The sequence below is a fragment of the Homo sapiens genome, chromosome 15 (genome assembly GCF_000001405.40).
Source record: "Homo sapiens chromosome 15, GRCh38.p14 Primary Assembly".
Taxonomy (NCBI): domain Eukaryota; kingdom Metazoa; phylum Chordata; class Mammalia; order Primates; family Hominidae; genus Homo; species Homo sapiens.
In genome coordinates this window covers 23663825-23688008 of record NC_000015.10, presented here as the reverse complement: position 1 = coordinate 23688008, position 24184 = coordinate 23663825, and the positions used below count along the sequence as shown (strand labels likewise).

The following is a 24184-nucleotide window of genomic DNA, read 5'->3' as shown; positions in this document are numbered from 1 at the left end:
CTATGGACTAAGTATGGAAAAAAATAAAATGGAATCAAAGTTACCCAAAGGAAGTGTAAAACCCAAATTTATGCCCGTTAAAGCATTAATGATGCTCTAAGTCCACTGCCTACTTAAAAAGTTCATAGTTCACATGGGTTGATAGGAAATTACGTTAACGACACACTGCATTTCCCCTTTTCTTATAGCCTATCTGATTTGGTAGGGAGTCGATCATTTTTTATTGGAATTTCTCAGGATTCCAACCTCAGACATCCACTTTACAGTTTACACATTTTCTTGGACAAGCCCGACTGTTCCTCTCACTGGTTCGCATAAAGCTCATGTTTACAAAGCCGCCCAGACCTTTCTCTGGGACTCTCATATTTAACTTAATTCTGGATATACCCAGGTAAGCGTTTCCCAAGAAACTTGACCCCAACATCCCAAAAACTTAAGGTATCTTTCCCTTAAACTGGCCCCTTCTCCAGTACGCATCCATCTCACTTCTCTCCTGCCCTAGATCTTCTCAGCCCAAACAGGAAACCCCGGGATCGCTCTCCCAGCAGGTGAAGCCTCGCCATGGACCCTCCCCGTCGGGGCCCCGCGCTGCCCCGCCCGCCCCCAGCCGCTGGCCAAGGCCGCGGTCGCGCAGGCGCAGTGCCGCGTCCCGCCGCCGCCCCGCCCTGCCCGTCGCTGCGGAAGGCGCCGCGCGCAGCAACGCGCACTTCCTCTCCAGGAATCCGCGGAGGGAGCGCAGGCTCGAAGAGCTCCTGGACGCAGAGGCCCTGCCCTTGCCAGACGGCGCAGACATGTCAGAACAAAGTAAGGATCTGAGCGACCCTAACTTTGCAGCCGAGGCCCCCAACTCCGAGGTGCACAGCAGCCCTGGGGTTTCGGAGGGGGTTCCTCCGTCCGCGACCCTGGCAGAGCCGCAGAGCCCTCCTCTAGGCCCGACGGCCGCTCCGCAGGCCGCGCCGCCTCCCCAGGCCCCGAACGACGAGGGCGACCCGAAGGCCCTGCAGCAGGCTGCGGAGGAGGGCCGCGCCCACCAGGCCCCGAGCGCGGCCCAGCCGGGCCCGGCACCGCCAGCCCCGGCGCAGCTGGTGCAGAAGGCGCACGAGCTCATGTGGTACGTGCTGGTCAAGGACCAGAAGAAGATGATCATCTGGTTTCCAGACATGGTGAAAGATGTCATCGGCAGCTACAAGAAGTGGTGCAGGAGCATCCTCCGGCGCACCAGCCTCATCCTCGCCCGGGTGTTCGGGCTGCACCTGAGGCTAACCAGCCTGCACACCATGGAGTTTGCGCTGGTCAAAGCGCTGGAGCCCGAGGAGCTGGACAGGGTGGCGCTGAGCAACCGCATGCCCATGACAGGCCTCCTGCTCATGATCCTGAGCCTCATCTACGTGAAGGGCCGCGGCGCCAGAGAGAGCGCCGTCTGGAACGTGCTGCGCATCCTGGGGCTGCGGCCCTGGAAGAAGCACTCCACCTTCGGGGACGTGCGGAAGCTCATCACTGAGGAGTTCGTCCAAATGAATTACCTGAAGTACCAGCGCGTCCCATACGTGGAGCCGCCCGAATACGAGTTCTTTTGGGGCTCCCGGGCCAGCCGCGAAATCACCAAGATGCAAATCATGGAGTTCCTGGCCAGGGTCTTTAAGAAAGACCCCCAGGCCTGGCCCTCCCGATACAGAGAAGCTCTGGAGGAGGCCAGAGCTCTGCGGGAGGCTAATCCCACTGCCCACTACCCTCGCAGCAGTGTCTCTGAGGACTAGCAAAGTCTGGAGGCAGATGAATGGTTTCTGACCCTCACCAGGGCTGTGGAAGGGTGGGGGTGGGTCATTATAGTATTCAGGATTTACAGTGCAGTATTCACGTGTAACTTTTAAGTTTTCAGTACAGTGCTTTTATACCTTTAATGCAATGTTGTATTCATTTGGGTACTATTGTGTAGTATTTAGGATGTATGCATGTTTGTTTATATGTAAGCTTGGTTGGTGCTTTCGCTTTTGTGCTACCTTTCTTGGATTTTTGTACCAGAGATGTGCTAAACTGATGAAATACATTGAGAAAGTTTCCATCTTATTCTTTTATATGGGACTGATGATGTGTGTTGGGGTAGACTGCTCCTGCAGAGTTTGGAAGAAGTCACCAGCAAAGCCGGCCTAACCAAGAAAAGTCAAGGCCCTTCATGACCTTGCTGGGCACAGAAAACACCCTCGTGGAGTACACTAATTTGAACTGGACTGGTCTCAGTGTGAGCACTTGGCACACTTTACTAAACACATATACAACCCCACCGTGAGTCAACTTTAAAGTAAACATTAAAGATTCTTGTGATACAATCATTTTTGGAAAAGTGTACTTTATCATTTTAACAAAGCAGTATGGTTGGGAATGAGACAATTCTCTATTTTACAGTGTATACAGATACAACTATTTCCCCTAATAGGGTGGGAAAAATCGCTACTCATGATTACTCCTAAATTTGTGAAGTTTATAGTTCTATTGTCTTTAAATGTAACTCATGTTTATTTCAAAAACATTCACAAATATAGAAAAGTATACAAAACAAAACAGTAAGATTGTCTGTAATCACATCATATGGGAATAAAAAACAAAAATAATTTCCTTCCCTTAAGTTTCTACATTTTATCAAAATTAATAGATGTCTTGTGACATCTATTAATATACATATAACATATTTATAATATAAAAGAGTGAGACATTGTGCTAAGCCCTAACATGTATTTTTCTCCTTTAATCCTTGCAACAGGCCTGTCAGGCAGGCACCTACTGCCTCTGCACCATGGAGGAAACACAGGAATAATGTAGGTAATGAACTTTCCATAGCTCATAAAGGTTAATAAGAGAAGGAGCTAGGACTTGAACTCAGAATGAATCCAGAGCCCACATTTGTCTCCACCTGCCTACGACTGCCCTATACCCCGTGGCTTTTAGGTTATTTATTTTTAAATTTATTTTTACATTTTATGTGGGAGCCTACAATCACATGGGTTCATGGGCCACACATACAAAAAGGCTAGGAATTTTATTTTTCTAATTCTCATGATATTTTGGAGAAAGCAATATCATTCTGATTGTGCAAATTAAGAAACTTACTTTTGGAGAGGTTAATTAACCTAACAAAGTGATATTCCTATTTAGCAGTGAAGCTAGGATTTGAAACAATCTCTCCTGAGGGTTGGAGGTGAAGGCACCTTCTCTGACAAACACACAAGACACCTGAGAGAGGGAGGTGGGTTGTCCATCAGGATGTCTGTGGCCTTGCAGCCCTTCAGTTGCGGTGAGCCACTAGGTAATCCTCAGAGGATGGGGTGGGCTGCGGGTGGGCATTAGGGGCAATGCCTGAAGAAAAATCTCACTGTGAATTTTTAGTCCTGCAAGGGGTAGCGGGGAGAAAGGGGGCTTTAATAAGACTAGAAGTCCTTTAAACTACAAAAGAGTGGGAAAGACCATTTGGCCAAAGCCAGAAACTTTTCTGTGGAAGATGGATAATGAAGAGGACACATGTCACATAACACCCCAAAGAAGTAAACTGGGAGTCCTATTAGGGTGAGGGAATTATAATTTGGAATTGCCAACACTTACTGGCATTACTTAACAGGTGGGGGCAGGTGCTGGAAATGCTTAGGAAGCCCCTGTTCATGCTGAGATGAAATCCATCCCGGTTTAAAAGCTTCCTGTGAAGATTTTCAAGGGGGTTCTGCAGAGAAAGGGGGACATTTCTGCAATCACCCAGGCAGGGGTGACCTGGCTTTGATGGCACCTCTTACACAAAACCAATGTGAGTGTCTCACCTGTTCAGAAGTGTTAGGATTGTTTGGAAATCTTACCTCCCCACAACCCATCGAAAAGTTTCTCCAGAATCAAAATAAACCTGCCCGTTATCATTTAAAATTGTGGGGATATCCAGGATGTTTCATTTCTGGAGTAGGACTGTGGGCTGTTGTTCCTGCCACACATGGTGCTGGTCATCTTCTCTAATGCCTTAATACTTCCCTCACTGCTGGATTGATGCCTTGCAGGAGCAGTAACCCCTGTGCGCTTCTTGCAGTCAAGCCCAGAAATCACCAGGCAAACAGTCTCCTTACATCCCCGTTTAACTCCTTATGTTGTGTCCACTTTCCTCTCTGCTGTCAGAGGCAGGGAGAACCACCCTTTCCAAAGCTGTCCCAAGCTCACTCACACAGGCACCCTAGCCAGGCCATAGAGGACCTAGCCCTTGCAGGAGAAACAGAATGTGAGAATGTGAGAATGTGAGAAAGGAGTAAGGCATGGGGCAGAGCGACTCGTCCCTAATGCTGCCTAGGAGGCAGCCAGACCTAGAGAAAGAGGCTTCCAGATGTGAAATGAGTTTACTTCATGACACCTGATCCTGCAGAGATAGCAGCTTGGGGCATGGGGAGAGAGAACCCAGCAGCTCTCTTGGGTTTTCATGCTGGGCTCTAAATAGAAAGACTGGAGGGTTTGTCAAATATTTACCAAAAGATTCACCTACAAGGTCCTGGGATAGGTCAATCAGGAAGGGGTCAGCTGGTCCTCAGTGTTGCAGTCCAACATGACAGTGTGCTGAAGCCCAGACTGCTGTGGGTGGGAGAGACTTTCCTAAATCCCCATAACATGTCAACTTTTACCTGCCAACTGGAACCTCATTTCTTCACAAACACCTGCAAACATATTTTGATTTGTTAATTTCATTTTATGAAAGGAAGGGAAAAGGGATCTTTATAAATTTAATATAAAATATAAAGACACCTGGTGTAAGTTGTCCTGAGAGGAAATAAATAACTTTAAGCAGTATCATTATTAAATAGAAATGTTTTAAGTGAACTTCTTATGCAGTTAAATATTTCCTCTGCTTGAAAACCCTTTTATGTCCTTCTCCAACCTGAGTCTTACCTGACCAACTCATGAACACTATTTCCTGGGAGAACACACTCCCTAACCTCTAAGCACAGCCATGTTCTAAATGCACCCAAAATACACCTGCTGTTTATAATTATGTGCCTTTTATTTCTCTCCTCCTGGATTGTTACATACTTAAGGGTTAGAATTGTCTTTATCCTGTTCATTATTTGCTTGACACTTGAGGTAAGGATGGGGCATAAGGGCTGCACTTGATACATATTTGTTATATAAGTTAAGTAACTCAACATATTAGAAAAGACCTACCCATCCACACAAGAAAACAAAACCATATGTGGCTGACAAAAATTAGCCAATTTAAAGGGCGCGGTGGCTCATGCCTGTAATCCCAGCACTTTGGGAGGCCGAGGCAGGCAGATCACGAGGTCAGGAGATGAGACCATCCTGGCTAACATGGTGAAACCCCGTCTCTACTGAAAATACAAAAAAATTAGCCGGACGTGGTTGCGGGTGCCTGTAGTCCCAGCTACTCGGGAGGCTGAGGCAGGAAAATAGTGTGAACCCGGGAGGCGGAGCTTGCAGTGAGCTGAGATCCCGCCACTGCACTCCAGCCTGGGGCGACAGAGCCAGACTCCATCTCAAAAAATAAATAATAATAATAATAATAAAATAGAGGTAACGTAGGACGGGCGCGATGGCTCATGTCTGTAATCTCACCACTTTGGGAGGCCGAGATGGGCGGATCACTTGAGGTCAGAAGTTCAAGGCGAGGCTGGACAACATGGTGAAACCCTGTCTCTACTAAAAACACAAAAATTAGCTGGGCGTGGTGGCACGTGCCTGTAGTACCAGCTACTCAGGAGGCTAAGGCAGGAGAATCCCTCGAACCCGGGAGGCGGAGGTTGCAGTGAGACGAGATCATGCCACTAAACTCTAGCCTGGGTGACAGAGCAAGACACCGTCTCCAAAAAAAAAAAAAAGCAAAGTGGAGGTAATGTAGATAAGTTGAAATTAGTGAAAGAAAAAAAAACAGAAGGCAGAAAAACAATGGAAGCAAAAACTTGTTTCAAGAATCACTGCTACAAACACTCTAACAAAATAACCCAATATCTAGTAGTTTTTTTAGAAAGGAAAAATAGTACAAAGAAACAACTTATTTCCTGACTTTTTAATGATCGCCATTCTAACTGGCGTGAGATGGTATCTCTTTTCTTTCTTTTTTTTTTATTTTTTATTTTTGAGACAGAGTCTCTCTCTGTCACCCAGGCTGGAGTGCGGTGGTGCGATCTCGGCTCACTGCAAGCTCCGCCTCCCGGGTTCACGCCATTCTCCTGCCTCAGCCTCCCCAGTAGCTGGGACCACAGGCGCTGCCACCGCGCCTGGCTAATTTTTTGTATTTTTAGTAGAGACGGGGTTTCACCGTGTTAGCCAGGATGGTCTCGATCTCCTGACCTAGTGATCCACCCGCCTTGGCCTCCCAAAGTGCTGGGATTACAGGCGTGAGCCACCGCGCCCGGCTGGTGTGAGATAGTATCTCATTGTGGTTTTGATTTGCATTTCTCTGATGACCAGTGATGATGAGCATGGGTGAAGCTGGAAGCCATCATTCTTTATATATATATATACATATATATATATTTTTTTTCATTATACTTTAAGTTCTAGGGTACATGTGCACAACGTGCAGGTTTGTTACATATGTATACATGTGCCATGTTGGTGTGCTGCACCCATTAACTCATCATTTACATTAGGTATATCTCCTAATGCTATCCCTCCCCCCTCCCCCCACCCCCAACAGGCCCCAGTGTGTGATGTTCCCCTTCCTGTGTCCAAGTGTTCTCATTGTTCAATTCCCACCTATGAGTGAGAACATGCGATGTTTGGTTTTTTGTCCTTGCAATAGTTTGCTGAGAATGATGGTTTCCAGCTTCATCCATGTCCCTACAAAAGACAGGACCTCATCCTTTTTTATGGCTGCATAGTATTCCATGGTGTATATGTGCCACATTTTCTTAATCCAGTCTATCATTGATGGACATTTGAGTTGGTTCCAAGTCTTTGCTATTGTGAATAGTGCTGCAATAAACATACATGTGCATGTGTCTTTACAGCAGCATGACTTATAATTCTTTGAGTATATACCCAGTAGTGGGATGGCTGGGTCAAATGGTATTTCTAGTTCTAGATCCCTGAGGAATTACCACACTGACTTCCACAATGGTTGAACTAGTTTACAGTCCCACCAACAGTGTAAAAGTGTTCTTATTTCTCCACATCCTCTCCAGCACCTGCCGTTTCCTGACTTTTTAATGATTGCCATTCTAACTGGTGTGAGATGGTATCTCATTGTTGTTTTGATTTGCATTTCTCTGATGGCCAGTGATGATGAGCATTTTTTCATGTGTCTCTTGGCTGCATAAATGTCTTCTTTTGAGAAGTGTCTGATCATATCCTTTGCCCACTTGTTGATGGGGTTGTTTGTTTTTTTCTTGTAAATTTGTTTGAGTTCTTTGTAGATTCTGGATATTAGCCCTTTGTCAGGTGAGTAGATTGCAAAAATTTTCTCCCATTCTGTAGGTTGCCTGTTCACTCTGATGGTAGTTTTTTTGCTGTGCAGAAGCTCTTTAGTTTAACTACATCCCATTTGCTAATTTTGGCTTTTGTTGCCATTGCTTTTGGTGTTTTAGACCTGAAGTCTTTGCCCATGCCTATATCCTGAATGGTATTGCCTAGGTTTTCTTCTAGAGTTTTTATGGTGTTAGGTCTAACATTTAAGTCTTTAATCCATCTTGAATTAATTTTTGTATAAGGTGTAAGGAAGGGATCCAGTTTCAGCTTTCTACATATGGCTAGCCTGTTTTCCCAGCACCACTTATTAAATAGGGAATCCTTTCCCCATTTCTTGTTTTTGTCAGGTTTGTCAAAGATCAGATGGTTGTAGATTGTGGTATTATTTCTGAGGGCTCTGTTCTGTTCCAGTGGTCTATATCTCTGTTTTGGTACAAGTACCATGCTGTTTTGGTTACTGTAGCCTTGTAGTATAGTTTGAAGTCAGGTAGCGTGATGCCTCCAGCTTTGTTCTCTTGGCTTAAGATTGACTTGGCAATGTGGGCTCTTTTTTGGTCCCATATGAACTTTAAAGTAGTTTTTTCCAGTTCTGTGAAGAAAGTCATTGGTAGCTTGATGGGGATGGCATTGAATCTGTAAATTACCTTGGGCAGTATAGCCATTTTCACGATATTGATTCTTCCTACCCATGAGCATGGAATGTTCTTCCATTTGTTTGTATCCTCTTTTATTTCATTGAGCAGTGGTTTGTAGTTCTCCTTGAAGAGGTCCTTCACATCCCTATAAGTTGGATTCCTAGATATTTTATTCTCTTTGAAGCAATTGTGAATGGGAGTTCACTCATGATTTGGCTCTCTGTTTGTCTGTTATTGGTGTATAAGAATGCTTGTGATTTCTGCACATTGATTTTGTATCCTGAGAATTTGCTGAAGTTGCTTATCAGCTTAAGGAGATTTTGGGCTGACAAAAACCACCTGATTATCTCAATAGATGCAGAAAAGGCCTTTGACAAAATTCAACAGCCCTTCATGCTAAAAACTCTCAAAAGTTAGGTATTGATGGGATGTATCTCAAAATAATAAGAGCTATTTATGACAAACCCAGAGCCAATATCATACTGAATGGGCAAAAACTGGAAGCATTCCCTTTGAAAACTGGCACAAGACAGGGATGCCCTCTCTCACCACTCTTATTCAATACAGTGTTGGAAGTTCTGGCCAGGGCAATCAGGCAGGAGACAGAAATAAAGGGTATTCAATTAGGAAAAGAGGAAGTCAAATTGTCCCTGTTTGCAGATGACATGATTGTATATCTAGAAAACCCATTGTCTTTTTTTTTTTCTTTGAGACGGAGTCTCACTCTGTCGCCCAGCCTGGAGTGAAGTGGCGCGATCTAGGCTCACTGCAAGATCTGTCTCCCGGGTTCATGCCATTCTCCTGCCTCAGCCTCCTGAGTAGCTGGGACTACAGGCGCCCGCAACCACGCCCAGCTAATTTTTTGTATTTTTAGTAGAGACGGGGTTTCACAGTGTTAGCCAGGATGGTCTCGATCTCCTGACTTCATGATCCGCCCGCCTTGGCCTCCAAAGTGCTGGGATTACAGGTATGAGCCACCGCGCCCGGCCTGGAAACCATCATTCCAAGCAAACTATCACAAAGATAGAAAACCAAACACCGCATGTTCTCACTCATAGGTGGGAGCTGAAGAATGAGAACACATGGACACAGGGCAGGGAACATCACACACCGAGGCCTGTCGAGAGGTGGGAGGCTGGTGGAGGGATAGCATTAGGAGAAATACCTAATGTAAATGATGAGTTGATGGGTGTAGCAAACCAACATGGCACATGTATACCTATGTAACAAACCTGCACGTTGTGCACATGTGCCCCTAGAACTTAAAGTATACAAAAGAAAAAAAGAAGCAACTTATTACTAGATAAATGGGCCAAGGACACAGAGAGGTCAGTGCCTTAATAGGAAACACAAACATCAAATGAGAAAATGAAAAACAAATACAATCTCACTGATTAAGTAAAGATACTTTGTGTATATGAATTGATCAAAGATACAATAAAAATGAATATCCTGTACTAGCAAGAGTGAATTGAAATTGGCATCCTTGGACCCTGCTATAGTTGTATAAATTACTACATGCTATTTTATGCATTCATTCAGAGTGCTTACTGAGTACCTAATATGCGGCAGATGCAGGGCTAGGAGTTAGGGATGCAAGAGTGAACAGAATAGACATTGTCCTGTGCTTGCCGAGCATTCACTGAATTGAAAGAAGCAGGTGAATAAAAATAATTACATTTCAGCGCAGTGAGTGCCATCCTAAGAGAAGTGTGGGGCCTAAAGAGGCACAAACAGGTGCACACGACTCAGACTGTCCTAGAGAGGTGAGGCATAAATTGGTTCTATAGGATGAGAAGCAATTAGCAACGTGAAAACGGTGTGTGGAAGGGTGAAGTTGGGAGGAGGCTCTCTTTGTGTCCCGGGATCTGCTGTGTGACCACACACACAAGCATACGGGGCTATATAATGAGTTTCTCAAAATAAATAGAGTAAAAAGGAGAAGGGAAATAAACAAATTTCAGAATTGGCTAGAGGCTAGGAAAAAAAAACATGCTGGCTGAAGATACAGTCAATTTCCTCAAGGATGTGACAAAGAAGAGGGCTCATATGAATCACATGAAAGGCTAACAGATTTAGAAGAAGCCATGCTGAAGGATAGCCTTCTTTTGAACAGACACCTTTGTTTTTTTATTGCTGCTGTTGTTGTCTGCTTTCTGATGAGGGGTCTAAAACATCCCTCCTTATCTCTTTATTTGCCCAATTATTCTTGGGTTCAGCTACTCAGGGTTTGGAGCCCTTAACTATATTACATATTTTCCCATATCTAAACGGTTTCATGTCTCTTCTATTAGCCCACCAACTTTATACTAAAAAATCTTTAAGATTCCTGTTTGCTGTATAAATTAGTTTGTTTATGTATTTATTCAATAGAGATTTCTTGAACTTCAACTATATGGCTGACTTGTGCTAGGAACTGGTACAATTTGGTGAATTAAACAAGATGGCTCTTGGCCTCAAGTAGTTTGTTTATAAACTTTTTTTTTTTTTTTTTTGAGATGGAGTCTGGCTCTGTTGCCCAGGCTGGAGTGCAGTGGCGCCATCTTGGCTCACTGCAAGCTCCACCTCCTGGGTTCATGCCATTCTCCTGCCTCAGCCTCCCCAGTAGCTGGGACTACAGGTGCCTGCCACCACGCCCGGCTAATTTTTTGTATTTTTAGTAGAGACAAGGTTTTGCCGTGTCAGCCAGGATGGTCTCAATCTCCTGACCTTGTGATCCACCCGCCTCGGCCTCCCAAAGTGCTGGGATTAAAGGAGTGAGCCACCACACCTGGCTTATTGATAAATTTTGCATTGATAGAGCACAACAAAGAGGTACAAATGAAACTTCAAATACAAATTATATGATTGGATAAGATATATGAAAAAAATGGGCCAGGCAGAGTGGCTCACATCTATAATACCAACACTTTGGGAGGCCAATATGTAAGAATTGCTTGAGGCCAGGAGTTCAAGCCCAACCTGGGCAACATAGCAAGACCCCATCTCTACAAAAAAAGTTTAATTTAAATAAATGACGTGGTTAAATTGATAGAGAATGGTTGAGAAGACAAACTAAGGCAGGAAGCCCAAGAAATAATTTTCTGAAAAGGTGAAATTTAAGCTGATAATTAATTGAAGGATAACAAGAGAGTTAGCAAAGATCAAAGGGAAGATCAAGATAAATCCAGGCATGTATGTATGTATATATAAATTACGCATGTATACATATATGTGTGTAATATATATACATATATATGCACATCATCCCATCTGGGCCTTCATATATATGTATATGTGTATAATATATACATATATATGCGCATAGATGTGTATAATATATACATATATATGCGCATAGATGTGTATAATATATACATATATATGCGCATAGATGTGTATAATATATACATATATGTGCGCATAGATGTGTATAATATATACATATATGTGCGCATAGATGTGTATAATATATACATATATGTGCGCATAGATGTGTATAATATATACATATATGTGCGCATAGATGTGTATAATATATACATATATGTGCGCATAGATGTGTATAATATATACATATATGTGCGCATAGATGTGTATAATATATACATATATGTGCGCATAGATGTGTATAGTATATACATATATGTGCGCATAGATGTGTATAGTATATACATATATGTGCACATATATATGCACATATATGTGTATAATAAGTACACATATATATGCACATATGTGTGTATAATATATACATATATATGCACATATGTGTGCATATATATACATATGTGCACATATGTGTGTAATATATACATATATGCACATATATGTGTGTAATATATACATATATGCACATATGTGTATTTTATATGCACGTATGTGTATTATATATACATATATGCACATATGTGTGTATAATATATACATATATGCACATATGTGTGTATAATATATACATATATGCACATATGTGTGTATAATATATACACATATATGCACATATGTGTGTATAATATATACATATATATGCACATATGTGTGTATAATATATATACATATATATGCACATATATGTGTATAATATATATACATATATATGAAGGGCCAGAGTGAATCACCTAGATTTTTCTGGTGGCCTTTACCATGAGAAATAGCATTATAAATGGGCTGAGCAGCATGTGACACCCAGTTGTCTTTTCTTGTCTGTCTCCACAGTTGAGGCTGCACAAGTTAAATATTTAACTTCTTGGTTTTTCAGCTGTGTTCCAGTCAAGAGATGTACAGAGAGGTTTATCTGTGCTTTTCCTTCCTACATCCTTTTTCTCTTTCAGGGAATGTATAAGGAAAGTCAGGAGCTATTGTTGCTCGTATGATGGCAGTATAAAAACAGCTAAAGAAATCATAGAGAGGTTGAGCCTGACATCTACAAACTGCTGGACAAATACCAATAGCCACCTACTTGTATCTATAGTTTTTGGCATGTAGAATAAAATCTCATTCTTTAAGCTATTGTCTTGTGGGTTTTTTGCTTGCTTTGTGCAGCTCAAAGCATCCCTAACTGGTAAAGTCTCCAAAAAATTCTTTTCTCGTCTCCCATTCTGTGTCTGGTACTCACATGAGGGTATTACTGACCATAGGTGGACCCCGATTAGGTTATGACAAGCAGAGTAATTCTATCTCCTTGCTGCAGTTCTTAGATCAGATATGAGAACTTAATCAGTTCTGGGCAATCAGGTCATGTAGATTAGAACTTCCATTCATTTCATGGCAATGTTCATGAGAATAGAATTAGGGCTTCTGGCTCTGAAGTTTGTACCACTTTGGCATTTAGAGTTATCTCAGAAAAATGTATAATTTTTTTAAAAATTCAGCTTGTTATTTATAAGCCAGTTTTGTTATTTGCTCAAGAAATCATACTAATAATGGTGGTGCTTTCTGGGGTTGCGAAGGGGAAAGAAAGGCTCAGAACCAGGAGAGAGAGGAAGGTATCAGGGCAGCCCTGTAGGCAATGGTAAGCAGGCAGATTGTATTTAAAGAGTAAATGGAAACCACTAACGACTTGCAGACTCATCTAATTGACATTAGGCTTTTAAAATATTGCCCTCCTTAGTATACTCAGAATGAATTGAGAAGGGAAAGCATCAAAGTTGAGAGTCTGCTAAGAGATGAAGATGATGTAGACATGATGAAGGAGGGTATATTTGTGGCTCAATTGAGGAATGGAGGATGGATAGGTAAGGGACATGGAAGATTAGATCTGGATTCTCAGGTTTCAGGCTTGAGCACTCGGTGAATAGTGTGATTTTTTTTTTTTTTTTGAGACAGAGTCTCGGTCTGTTGTCCAGGCTGGAGTGTAGTGGCACAATCATAGCTCATTGCAGCCTTGACCTCCTAGGCTCAAGTGATCATCCCATCTCAGCCTCCCAAGTAGTTGAGACTATAGAAGCACACCATCACACCTGGCTAATTTTTGTATTTTTTGTAAAGGCGGAGTCTCACCATGTTGCCCAGGCTGGTCTCGAACTCCTGGGCTCAAGCGATCCTCAGCCTCCCAAAGTGCTGGGATTATAGATGGTGAGCCACCGCACCTGGCCATAAGTGTGATTTGATGAAATGGAGAAGGGAGGTGAAAAACAGGTTTTGGATGAAAACAGTAAAGAGTTCATACAAACACTCAGTGACATGTCCTAAAAGAAATATGAGGTTCACAATTATTAAAGATGCCTAGCTCAAGATAGAGAATCATAGCCCTGCACTGGAGCAACCCATTTATCCAGAGTGAAAGCACAGAGTAACTAGAAGCGGATATTCTGGGAAACTAAGACATTACCACGTGTAGTATTGAAGGAAAAGCTGCTACGGAGACTAAAAACAGTACCTGGTTAAGAGATAGAAAGTAAGCCAGGAGAGTGATAGAGATGAGAATCAAAATAGCAGCATTTCAAGCCAAAGGAAGTGGCCAATAGTGTCAAACACTGTTGAGTTATTAGAAGTATTTGAGGGGTTTATTTGCATTTAGTAGGATCTTTGCTGATAAGAGAAGGGAATAAAGGAGATTAAGTTCAAAGGCATGACGCGTGTTCACCCTTCACTCAGGTGAGAGATAATGGTAACTTTAACTAGGGAATGAATAATGAAGATGGAGATTAATTGAAAAATTGAGAAATAATTGGGGGTTACATTGCCAAAAATGGATGATTGATGAAATGCTAGAAATAAAAACAGGGAGGAATCAGGTTTATGGCCAGGTTTCTGACATGCACAATTTTGTGTGTCGTATCAGTTACTGAGTTTGTGAGAAAAGAGAAAGCAGATTTACGTGGGAGGAGGATGAGTTCAGTTTTATATATTTTGAGTTTAACGTAAATGCCAGGCATCTAAACAGAGATGTCCATTTGATTAGGGATAAATGCATAAGAAAAGATGCAGATTAAAATGTCATGAACCTATGGATGGGAAGGGATGGATTTGCAAAGGTATTCTCTGCTTCACCTGAGCAGTTTAGGCAGGACAGACACTCTTCTGCTTAATCTCAGACACTTACACCAGCTATCCACACTTGATCTTAGCCAAAAGGCCGAGAAGCAATACACCAGCTATCCTCAGGTACTTACATTACTTTTTGTTCCTAAAGGCATATGAGTTTGGGAATCTCGGAGAGTGAGAGGGAAGAGGTGCAGGATGGAGCATTGAGGAGAACAAATATTACATGGAAAAGCAGAAAGATAACTCTCAAATAATATCAAGAAACAGTGGGAAGAGATTAGGAATAAGTGAGATTTAGAGAATGTAGTTTTAGAAATGCCAAAGGAGGGATTGGTCAGTTGTTAAATTTAGTTGAGGCATGAAGCAATAAAATAACTAAGAAGTGTTTACTGAAATTACTCATAAAGAGATTATTTTCATTTTATGAAGAACAATTTCAATGGGATAGTTGTCAACAGAAACCAAACTTCAGCGAATTAAGTATGGAGCAGGATGTGAATATAAATGATGTATATATTCAATGGTTGATGGAGAGATACCAGTATTGAAGACATGGCGAGATCTATATTATAAAATGGAGTTACTATACAGGATTGGGAATGCATCGTCCATAGGAATGAGACAGAAGTATGAAATGACTGATTGATGTATACCTGTTGTATCTGTGGCAGAAAGTTGATGGTGCTTCTATTTTCCCAGAGGAGTGTCAGGGAAAGTCAAAATTTAAGACAGAGAAGGAAAGTGATGAGAGAGAAAGACAGTCCCAGATGTGTCCCATAGAATGGAGAAGGCAGGGGATCTTCCCAGGAGAATCTCTCATGGGAGACTCCAGCAGATATTAGAAAATTTAATTTACCGATATGTACAAGGTACCACCACTGCATTTCTTATTTGTTCCACAAATGCAAGACTGTCTCAGTATATTCATCATATCTGTAATCTTAAGAAAAACCACATGATCATGTCAATGCATGCAGGAAAGGCATCTGACAAAATTCAACTCCCATTCATAACAAAAGCTCTCAGCAATCTAGGCACAGAAAAGAGCATTACCAACCTGGTAAAGCACATTATAAAAGAAACAACAACTACTACTATAGTTAACATTGCTTAGTGTGTTTAATGACCAAAAACTGGATGCTTCCCTCTAAGATTGGAGGGAAGGGTAGAGTATGCTGTCCACTCTTATCACTCCTTTTCCACTTGGTGATGAAAGTCCTAGCCAGTTCAATAAGACAGGAAAAGGAAGTAAAATGCTTACAGGCTGAAAATGAAGAAATAAAGCTACTTCTATTTGCAGATGGCATAATTGTCTATGTAGAGAATCTCAAATAATGTCCAAAAAACCATACCTGAATTAAGAAGAGACTTTAGCAATGTCACAAGATACGGGGTCAACACACAAAACCAATTACATTTCTATATACCAGCAATAACTCTTGGAAACAGAAATTTAAACATTTAAAACTCAGTACCATTTATAATAACTCAAAAATACTTATGAATACATACATCAAAACATATAGGATCTCTATTTTGAAAAGCTTATAAAGCACTGATTAGAAAATCAAAAAATACCTAAATAAATGGAGAGAAATATCATGTTCATAGATCAGAAGACTCAACATGGTAAACAGATCAAACAGACATGTAGGATTCATGCAATTTTTATCAAAATCCCAGCAGTTTATCTGGAATTGTCTTGATTTTGGCACCAGAAGTCCCACTTTCTAGGAATCCCCTCTGTGGGATGTGAAAAACCCCAAATTTTTGGCCATGAGTAAAGAAGATTGGAGAAAAAACTAGAAAACCCATATGGCATCACCCAAACAAGGGCTGTATGCATTTTACTGCCAAATGGAGACAGCACATATTATCTGTTTCTTGTAATTGCTGTCACTGTTTTTTTCCTGACCACTAATGCGTATAACCACGATTTGCAGTTCACAGTGATCAGTGAATTACTGTGAGCTGCAAATCGTGAATCATTCTAACTCTTGTGACTTAAATATGTAAATGAAGCATGTTGTAATCATGAGTGTTTGTCTGTATTTGACTTTAGCTGTGGATTAACTGTTCTACTTTGAATCAATTTTGTGCTAGTTCAGTTTTTAACTTTACAAACCTTGAGACCATATTTTCTAATAATTCAGATAGTAAAAACACAAACAATTACAATACCAATGCAGCAAGGCCCAGAAGGCTAAATGATTGTGTTATTTTAATGGTACATGAAGGACACAGACAACTGTATTACAAAGGTAAGTAAACAAAACAGAGCATATTGCACAATAGGCAGAAAAATAATGTGGGGCTGGGTATGGTAGAGGAGGTTACATGATCTGTGTGACTTTGCTAGGGCTGCCGTAACAAAGTACCATAGATTGGGTGGCTTAAGCAACAAAAATCTATCTCCTCACAGTTATGGAGGTTGGAAGTCCCAGATCAAGGTGTCAGTGGGTTGGTTCCTTCTGGGGGCAGTGAGAACATGATCTGTTCCTGGTCTCTTTGCTTGGCTTGTAGATGGTGCAGATGACTGTCTTCTTTTTGTGTCTTTTCATTATCATCCCTCTGTGTGAAGACTAAATTTTACCATTTAAGGATGATATAAGCACGTAATTCTAAAAGGAACAAAAGTTTCTTTTCTCTTTTTCTTTTCTTTTCTTTTATTTCTGTTATTTTTTGGATTTTTGGTCTCCTAAACAAACACTGATGTTCAGTTGAAAATGGCAGCCACTGAATTACCTTTGGTATACCAAACAAACCAGCACACATCATTATATCATTTTATTGATTTCTATTTGAAAATGAGTAAAGTTACATTACCTTTAAAATTATTCGAACATTCAGTGACATATCCTACAAGAGATATGAGGTTCACAGTTAATAAAGATGCCTAGCTCAAGACAGAGAATCATAGCCCTGCACTGGAGCAACCCATTTATCCAGAAAGTGCAGAGTAACTAGAAGTGGATATTCTGGAAAACTAAAACATTGTATTAGTTTTGGTATACAATACAAACCAGCACACATCATTATATCATTTTATTGATTTATGTTAACCTACAAGTTGCATTGAAAATGTCTTTCAACAAACAAAATGGGAAATTTTGATAATAGATACATTGGTTCTTTACAGTGTAGAGCTGACTCTGACAAGTCTTACTGTCAATCATGCTGCCTACAATACAGCAAGTGATGCGTCAAATAATGATAACCAAAAAAAAAATGCACTCCACATTTTAGACATGTTTATTTGAAAAATGGAGCTTTAAATTATCTTTTGGTTTCTATGAAACTTTTCATTAAACCACAGAAAACATGAAACAAAAGATTATTAACATCTTTTCCAAATCTGAACTAGAATTTGCTCATCTATATGCATATCTGGCAGACAGCACAAATGTAAATTTGCCAGACTCCATTCAGTCTATGAACTTCTTATCAAAGAAAAGATATTACCTACTAAATGCCTCACACACATTTAATATAGAACTGCTAAAAAGGGGCCTGGTGTGCTTACTTGTGATTTTAAGGCTTTCATAATTAAAATTTTTCACCACTTTTCAGTTTTCTTAAAACATACAGAAACAAGAATCATAACTTCGGCTTTATGGAAATGGAAGGAGATAGCATCCTTACACCTATGCCCACAAGACAGCTTGCATTGCGGCCAGCCGTAGAAAAGATACCAAAATGTTAGCCTGCCATAAAATCATGTTTTCAGAGTATGAAAGAAGAAGAATGTTCTCTAATCTGAAAGCAAATTAAGGATGAGAATAAAGAGAAGGGGAGAAAAATGCAACAGAAGTGAATATGCTTTTTTCCCAAAACTGTTGGTGATCTTTGAAGAGGTCATATGGAGCCTAGAAAATGATAAGCTGGCTGCATTTGAGTTACGTGATGTTGTGTTCTGGTTGCAACAAAAACTAATACAGCAAAAACAGGATGAACAAAAACCCTCATGTTTTAGGGAAATGATACTATTTCAGAACACGAGAAAAGGTCATCAGAAAAGATCAGCTAAGTTAAATAGAACTTTCTCTGAGATGGAGTCTGGCTCTGTCACCCAGGCTGGAGTGCAGTGGTGCGATCTCAGCTCACTGCAACCTCTGCCTCCCGGGTTCAAGCCATCCTCCTGCCTCAGCCTCCTGAGTAGCTAGGACTGCAGGCGTGCACCATCATGCCTGGCTAATTTTTGTATTTTTAGTAGAGATGGGGTTTCACCATGTGGGTCAGGCTGGTCTTGAACACCTGACCTCAAGCAATCTGCCTACGTCAGCCTCCCAAAGTGCTAGGATTACAGGCGTGAACCACCACACCAGGCCTGTTTTAAACAGAATTTTCTCAATTTCTTTTTAGAAATTGTAAATTATTTAGAATACAAATTTGATTTCACAACTTCAAATTACCTCTGTGCTTTGAAGCCATTTTCATGACAAAGAGGGTTAACTTATGATAGCATCCAATACACTTATGAATGTTCATAAATCATGGACTTTTTTACATGTCAGCAGCCTATATGATGGATCTCTAGATGCAAATGATCTCATTAACAAACAGATAGTCTACGAAAATAACCCTTTAAATACAAAGTGAGTGGTGTTTTTTTGAAAGCTGGACATGAATTTGGTCAAATTCAAAACTCTGCTGCTGCTGGTAAGTAAAATCCTAAATATCTTATGTCCAAACACTCTTTTTGTAAACATATTTAGCTATGTTTTTACATCAGACTTACCACTGGAATCAATGTAATGTGGACTTGATGAGAACAGAGCAGCAAGTCAAAGTGAATTATATGTTTGACTGTACTCAATTTTATCACCACATAAAATAAAAGAAAGATATCATGAAGGCTGTAGGCAGTATAGAGAAATATTACTAAAAAGGAAACAGAAGAAGAAAAAATATATATATCCCACTGTATCACTGGACAGAAATAAAAATGTCATTCTTACTTTTAAATTGAATATTAGAATATCCTATAGTCATTTTTAATTTACATTCTCCTCCTAAAAGTCATATGATTACATATTTTAAGAATAACTGAATATAGCCTACAATATATAAGTATGCAATTGGGAATTAAAATAAATTGCTGTAACAAGAAATATAAAACATTGTTATATTTTTCATATATATTACTTGTTTATTAATCCTATCATTAATTACTACTAATTAGCACTGTTAATTAGTCTTTGTTTTGTGTAAAAAATGTCAGGAGGCTGAGGCAAGAGGATCACTGGAGGCCAGGGGTTCAAGCCCAGCCTAGGCAACATAGTGAGACCCCATCTCTACAAAAAATTTTAAAATTAACTAAGTGTGGTGGCACATCTTTGTAGTCCCAGCTACTCCAGAGGCTGAGGTGGGCAGATCATGTGAGCCTGGGAGGTTGAGGATGCAGTGACCCATGATCGAGCTGCTGTACTCCAGCCTGGTGACAGAGTGAGAACCTGTCTCTAAAATAAATAAATAAATAAATAAATAAATGCAGTTCGTGTAACATAAAAATAAGTGATATAGAATAATAGATATTTTCAAAGAAACCTCTATTTTATATGTTATATTAAAGTAATAATGTGTATAATTATTATATGTTACATTATTATGATTTATTCTGTCTGGGTTAACTCTAAAAAGTTGGCCACCTTAGATATAGACAAGCTGATTCTAAAATTAATATTGAAAAGCAAAGGAACTAGAACAGCTAAAGAAAAAATAACTTGTAAAAAGTGAATTAAGTTAAAAAAGTGTGCTCTACCAATTTTAAGGCTTAAGGCACAATTCAGCAATCAAGACAGTGGTATTTAGCAGAGGGATAGACACATAGATCACTGGAGCAGAATAGATAACTCAGAATTAGAACCACACAAGTACAGCCAACTGATTTTTGACAAAGGTGCAAAAGTAATTCAATGGAAGGATAGCCTTTTCAACAAATGATGTTGGAGCAATTAGACATCAGCATGCACCAACAAACCCCCAAACCTTCAACATAAACCCCACACTTCATACAAAAATAAATTCAAAATGGATTACAGCTCTAAATGGAAAATGTGAATCTATAAAACTTTTAAAAGAAAACACAGGGGGGAAATTGTCATAAAATGGTGTTAGATGCAGAGATCTTAGGACACCAAAAGCATAATCCACCAAAGAAAGAACGGATCAATTTGACCTCAACAAGATTAAAAGCTATTATTCTCTCAAAGACACTGGGGTTTTTTTTGTTGTTGTTTTTTTTTTGGTTTGTTTCTTTTTCTTTTTGAGACGGCGTCTCGCTCTGTTGCCCAGGCTGGAGTGCTGTGGCACAATCTCGGCTCACTGCAAGCTCCGCCTCCCAGGTTCACACCATTCTCCTGCCTCAGCCTCCCAAGTAGCTGGGACTACAGGCGCCCGCCACCACGCCCCTCTAATTTTTTGCATCTTTAGTAGAGACGGGTTTTCACCGTGTTAGCCAGGATAGTCTCCATCTCCTGACCTCGTGATCTGCCCGCCTCAGCCTCCCAAAGTGCTGGGATTACAGGCATGAGCCACCACGCCCTGCCGAAGTCACTGTTAAGAGAATAAAAAGACACAGACTTGGGGAATGTATTTGCAAACCACAAGTCCACAGAAGGATTTATATCCAGAATATATAAACAACTCTCTAAACTCAACATTAAGAAAACAAACAATCCTATTAGAAAATAGTCAAAGATTGAACCAGTAGATGGAAGGCAAACACATAAACAACAAAAAAAAGATGGTCAACACCATTAGCCATTAGGAAAATGCAAACTAATGTCACAATAATGTATCACTATACACAGAAATGTAAAATATAATAAAATATGCTGTAAATTATGACAAAAGAAAATATACTGTCGGCTGGGCACGGTGGCTCACCCCTGTAATCCCAGGACTTTGGGAGGCCGAGGCGGGCGGATCGCGAGGTCAGGAGATTGAGATCATCCTGGCTAACACGGTGAAACCCCGTCTCTACTAAAAATACAAAAATTTAGCTGGGCGTGGTGGCGGGCGCCTGTAGTCCCAGCTACTCGGGAGGCTGAGGCAGGAGAATGGCGTGAACCCGGGAGGCGGAGCTTGCAGTGAGCCGAGATGGTGCCACTGCACTCCAGCCTGGGTGACAGAAGCGAGACTCCGTCTCAAAAAAAAAAAAAAATGAATAAATAAAAATAAAAAAGAAAGGAAATATACTGTCCATATCCAAGAGAGGATATGAAGTAAGTGGAACTCTCACATAGTGCCAGGGGAATGTACAAGCATACATACACCATTCTGCAAAATGGTTTAGCAGTTTCTTACAAAGTTATCACATCCTTAAGCGTAACCCAATTATTCTATTCTTGGTTATTTACTGTACAGAAATAAAGGCATATGTTCATACCAAAACTACGTTGCAATGACCTACAATTAGAAACAAGCCATATATTTTCCAACATGCAAATGGATAAACTGTGGTACATATATTCAATACAATATTACTCAGCAACAGAAAGGAACTAAATATTGTTACACATAGCAACTTGAATAAATCTGAAAGACCTTATATGTATTCAGAGCAAAAGAAATATCAAAGGGTTGCATACTCTACAATACCAATTTAATAACATTCTAGAAAAGACAAAATTATAGCATTGAATGTAACAGATAAGTGGTTTCCAAGATTAGTGGGCAGCTGTGACTGAAAAGGGGTAACAGAGAATTTCTTTGTGAGGATGGAACAGCTCTGTATCCTATGTTGATGGTTACACAAATCTATCCATGTAATATTTCATAGAACTATAAGCTCCCTCAGAAATGAGTGCATTTCAAAACTGGCAAAATCGGAACAAGGTCAGTAGTTTACTTAGTAGTATTATACCAATGTTAATTTCATAGTTTTGATTATTTTTACTATGCTTATGTAAGTTAGCATCACTGGAAGAAGCTAGACAAAACGGACATAGGAACTCTCCATACTATTTTTTCAACTTCCATGTAAGTCTAAAATTATTGCAAAATGAAAATTTAAAATAAACGAGTGCTAATAGTAGTGCCAGAGATAGAACTATATATTTTTTTTTCTTTTTTTTTTTTTTTGAGACGGAGTCTCGCTCTGTCGCCCAGGCTGGAGTAAAGTGGCGCGATCTCAGCTCACTACAAGCTCCACCTCCCAGGTTCACGCCATTCTCCTGCCTCAGCCTACTGATTAGCTGGGACTACAGGAGCCCGCCACCACGCCCGGCTAATTTTTGCATTTTTAGTGGAGACGGGGTTTCACCGTGTTAGCCAGGATGGTCTGCATCTCCTGACCTCGTGATCCGCCCGCCTCAGCCTCCCAAAGTGCTGGGATTACAGGTGTGAGCCACCACGCCCGGCTGAGATGGAGTCTTGCTCTGTCACCCAGGCTGGAGTGCAGTGGCGCGATCCCAGCTCACTGCAACCTCCGCCTCCCGGGTTCAAGGGATTCTCCTGCTTCAGCCTCCCGAGTAGCTGGGACTACAGGCGCACGCCACCATGTCCAGTTTATTTTTGTATTTTTAGTAGAGAGGGGGTTTCACCATGTTAGCCAGCATGGTCACAACCTCCTGACCTGATTCGCCCGCCTCGGCCTCCCAAAGTGCTGGGATTACAGGCATGAGCCATCGTGCCCGGCCAGAACTACATTTTTTAAATAATTATTTTTAAGGGAAAAGTATGGCATTCATCCTCTTGAATACATGATGTGCCAGATAATGTGAGAAAACTAAAATCCAACATTTTACAATAAGCAGATTATAAATGCTATGTCATAAAAAGAGAAAGGATGCACTTTTATAAGTCTGTAAAATCATAACTGTCTTCATGATATGATAGCATAGTAATTATCATATGAACCACAATGGCTCATGCTTACAAAACACTTAATATGTGATCCTTTCAACAAGCAAGAGTACGTGTTATTATTACCAGCATTTTATAGAGGAGGAAACTGAAAAACATAGATGTTAACTCATATTCTCTTGATCACTAGCTTGTTAATGACCTCACTGGGATTTTTCATCCAAGGTGGTCTGGCCCTAGAAACTGTACAGAATTTAGAAAATTATGTAAAATAAAATTCTGAAAGGTGTAAAGAGAACCCACTTGCAGGAGGAGAAAATAGCCACTCTCAGCATGTTGGTGTGTTTTCTTTTTGTGTGTGTGCTTTCATGCATTTATTGATTAATAAATAAAATAGTGACTGAAAATGTATGTGTGCCAATATTTGTTCTAGAAACATGCGCTACAGCACTGAATGAAGGATTCGAAGTCCCTGCCAGCATGGACCATAGAGTCTAGTGGGAGAAGATAGGTAATGCAAATTTTAAAAGTACAAGAAAACTTCAAGCCACAAGTCTTAGAGTAGAATAAGGGACTAACATTAACAGGGTTGTCAGGGAAGGCCTCTCTGAGGAGATGACCCTTGGGCAGAGCCCTGAAAGACACGAGGGAGTGAGCCACACGAATTTCTTCGTGAAGGAGTAAAGCATTTGGAACAGAGGACATTGCCTCTGCAATTGTCCAGGTGCTGGGACTGGATCCAAGGTCTGCAAGGAGACCCATGTGGATGGAATTGGGTGAGGGAGATGGAATGTAGCAGAGAGCTGCCCAGGGTCACGTCCTTCTCCCCA

General features: G+C 40.8%; 1 protein-coding gene across 1 annotated transcript; it reads left to right on the top strand.

Annotated features, from left to right (window-relative positions):
• NDN (necdin, MAGE family member) lies at positions 704–2609 on the top strand. The gene has a single exon (NM_002487.3). It carries the CDS (start codon positions 792–794, stop codon positions 1755–1757), a length of 966 nt encoding a protein of 321 aa, NP_002478.1. The 5' UTR covers positions 704–791; the 3' UTR covers positions 1758–2609.